Source organism: Homo sapiens, chromosome 4 (genome assembly GCF_000001405.40).
Source record: "Homo sapiens chromosome 4, GRCh38.p14 Primary Assembly".
Taxonomy (NCBI): Eukaryota; Metazoa; Chordata; class Mammalia; order Primates; family Hominidae; genus Homo; species Homo sapiens.
This window is the reverse complement of record NC_000004.12, coordinates 8,651,092-8,654,410: the sequence shown is the minus strand read 5'-3', so window position 1 is coordinate 8,654,410 and position 3,319 is coordinate 8,651,092. Positions and strand designations below refer to the sequence as shown.

Here is a 3,319-nt window from a genome sequence, read left to right as displayed (position 1 = left end):
TAAAGAAAATGTGGTACATGTACACCATGGAATACTATACAGCCACAAAAAGGAACAAGATTGTGTCCTCTGCAGGGACATGGATGAAGCTGGAAGTCATTATCCTCAGCAAACCAACACAAGAACAGAAAACCAAACACCATACGTTCTCACTTATAAGTGGGAGCTGAACAATGAGAACGCATGGACACAGGGAGGGGAACAATACACACCAGGGCCTGTTGGGGGATGTGGTGAGGGAGGGCACCAGGATAAATAGGTAATGCATGCGGGGCTCAATGCCTAGGTGATGGGTTGATAGGGGCACCAAACCACCATGGCACATGTCTAACTATGTAACAAAACTGCACGTCCCACACATGTATCCCAGAACTTAAAATTAAACTTAATAAAATGAGGTCATCAGGTTGGGCCCTAATCCAACATGAATGGTGCCCTTGTAGAAAGGGAAAATTTAGACACAGAGACACGCACAAGCACAGTGCCTGGTGAAGATGAAGGCAGAGGTCAGGGCGGCGCTTCCCCGAACCAAGGAACGCCCAGGGCTGCGGCCACCAGGAACTGGCGAGAGAATGGGACCCATTCTCCCACAGGGCCTCAGGAGAAGCCAGCCCCGCCCACACCCTGATTTCAGACTTCCGGCCTCCAGAACGTGAGATGACACACTTCCACTGTTTAAGCCCCCCAGGCTGGAGTACTTTGTCATGATGGCTCTTAGGAAATCAACAGTTCTCCCCCGTCACACCCCCCACCACCTGCCCAGACCCCAGTGGCTGGAGGCACAGACACCATCGTGAACAGGGCCACATGATCCCGCAATGAGGTGGCGGGGAGCAGAAACTCCACCCCTGCTGCAGGAGGGAGCCCCACCCCAGCCTGGGCACCTGCCTGGTTGCATGAGAAAAGCACCGGGCTCGCTCTCAAGCGCCTGTGGTCAGCTGCCTGCACATAACCTTAAATGGAAACATCGACCTGCGGGCCTGGGTGCTGAGTTCCCATGGCCACAGGACGCTCCTCTGTGATGCCCCAACTCCGGTGGTGGGCTTCCTCCCGGCCTTTCCTTACCTGGTACAGCATGGTCTGTCTCCACATCAGGTGTTCACTGCTGTGTCGCTGAAGTCTTGGACAGTGATGGCACCCGGTGGTGATCAGTTAATACTTGTTGAAGGAATAGAGAAAAGTGGGTAGGAAGGAGGGAGGGAGGGAGAGAGTGAGAGAGGGAAAAATAGAGGGAAAGAGAGGGGAATGATGGGAGGAAAGGAGAGAGGGAAGGAGAGAGGAGAGAGAGAGGTAGAGGGAGAGTGGTAAGGGAATGAGAAGGGCAGGAGGGAGGGAGGGAAGGATCGGAGGAGGGAGAGGGCCAGGGTGGGCCGGCGAGCAGCAACCATGACCAGAGCCTGCCATGGGCTTGTTGATGACACAGGCAGACATCAGGCTCTTCCCAGCTGGGGTCACACTCCTCATTCCAGCTTAACCTGAGACTTCCGCATGGTGCATCCTGCAGCGAGCCTGAGATGAAGGAAGCCCAGCCTCCACTTCCCCCTTGACGGGAGCTCTTCGTGCATCTGCTGAGATCTTGCTCTGCTGTGGGGACATGGTGTTCTGGGCCGGGTCTGAGGGAGCAGAAGGGAGCCAGGCCAAGGGGTGGAGGCAGCAGGGGTGGCAAAGTCCCTCCAGGAGAGGAACTCATCCTCATGACAGCCAGCTCGGCGGCTGTGACTGTTAGCCAGCCTGCTCTACAGCTCTACTGCCTGAGCCAGGCGGTCTGGCTTGGGGTAGAGGTGCTTTCCTCTTTTGGCCTTCTCATCCCAGGACCAGCTGAGGAGGTGCTCAGTCAACCCTGCCTGGGGACCCAGGCCCACGGTCACCTTCGCGACGAGGACACCAAGGCTGGCAGAAGCTGGGAGCAGCCCGCTTTGGCTGCCGGCCCGCAGGCTCTGTGCAAAGCTGGTGCCCCAGGTTCTAGCCCTCAAGCCCCTGGGAAGCCACTGGCCATGCTGGCCACCCCCGACCTGGGGCTTCCACCCCAAACACCTGTCCTTCCCGCTGGGCGAATCAGGCATCCTTACCCACATCTTCCTGGGAGCTGGGGTTTCTGTCCCTCTCTTTCTCGGAGGACGGCCCACTTGGGTTTGAATCGCTGGATCTAGGGATGCAGAAGGATCTGCTTCCTATTTTGGCCGCACCAGAGCTGGGTTGGGCAGGGGGCATTCTGCTCAGGGGCCAGGAGGAATCTACGCTCGTCCCTCAAGGCCCTCAAGGCCCTCAAGGCCGGCCAGGCAGAGGACTCTGACGGACTGCCTGGGTGAGAAGGTGGCCGTCAGGGTAGGGGAACTGCAGTCCTGACTCCCAGCACGGGCATCAGAGTGGACGTCCTGGCCACAAAATACTCTCCTCCCTGGCCCCACCAGCCTCTTGCCCTGGGCTAGACCACGGGCTTCTCCCCGGCCTGAGCGGGCCTAGCTGAGCCTGAGGGCTGGCTCACACAGGCTCATTCCCTGCAAGCTCCTCCCGTCCCCTCCCTCCTCTCCCAACTCTCCAGTGGTCAAGAAGCTCAGAGAAGCAGGTGTCCCTGAAGCATTCAAACCCTCACCGGGGCAGGCCTGGGTGGACGTCATCTCTGCTCCCGCCCCAGCCTCCTCTCGTAGGGGAGGAGCGCTGGAGGTGCTGGATGGCCGCAGGTGCTGTTGTGAGTGACAACCATGCACAGATTGTACCATCAAGGCTGGTCACCAGCGCCCATGCACCCCACTATGTCCATCTACCAGGGGTTCCCTAGGTGCAAAAAGGCGTTCATGGTCAAACAAATTGAGGGGCCCTGGATTAGAGTGAGCTTGTTTCCTTCCTGCAGGACTTCTCAGAGGCTTTACCACCATGGGAACCTCCAAGATAATCCCGGAAAACTTACTTGACCAAGGGGCCCTCTTTGTTCTGTGGGGCATCTCAAAGGTCTGCTCCTCCATAGCACTCCTTTCTGGGTGAAGAGATAAAGCCAGCCAGGTGTGGCAGCTCACGCCTGTAACCACAGAACTTTGAAAGGCCAAGGCAGAAGGATCGCTTGAGGTCAGGAGTTCAAGACCGGCCTGGGCAACATACTGAGACCCTCCATCTCTATAGAAAAGTAAAAAAAAAAAAACTAGCCAGGCGTGGTGGCATGTACCTGTGGTCCCAAGCTACTTGGGAGGCTGAGACAGGAGGATCAGTTGAGCCCAGGAATTTGAGGCTGCAGTGAGCTATGATCACCACTGTACTCCAGCCTGGGCAACAGAGCAAGACCCTGTTTCAAAAAATAAATATTTTTAAAAAGGGATACAGCCCA

General features: G+C 56.9%; 1 annotated feature.

Moving 5' to 3' along the window:
- Nucleotides 268-784: an enhancer, noted in NCBI's record as "H3K4me1 hESC enhancer chr4:8655353-8655869 (GRCh37/hg19 assembly coordinates)". NCBI's record gives its function as "activates a minimal SCP1, AML or CMV promoter by ChIP-STARR-seq in naive H9 embryonic stem cells {active_cell/tissue: H9 hESC(naive)}" and the evidence as "EXISTENCE:reporter gene assay evidence [ECO:0000049][PMID:30033119]".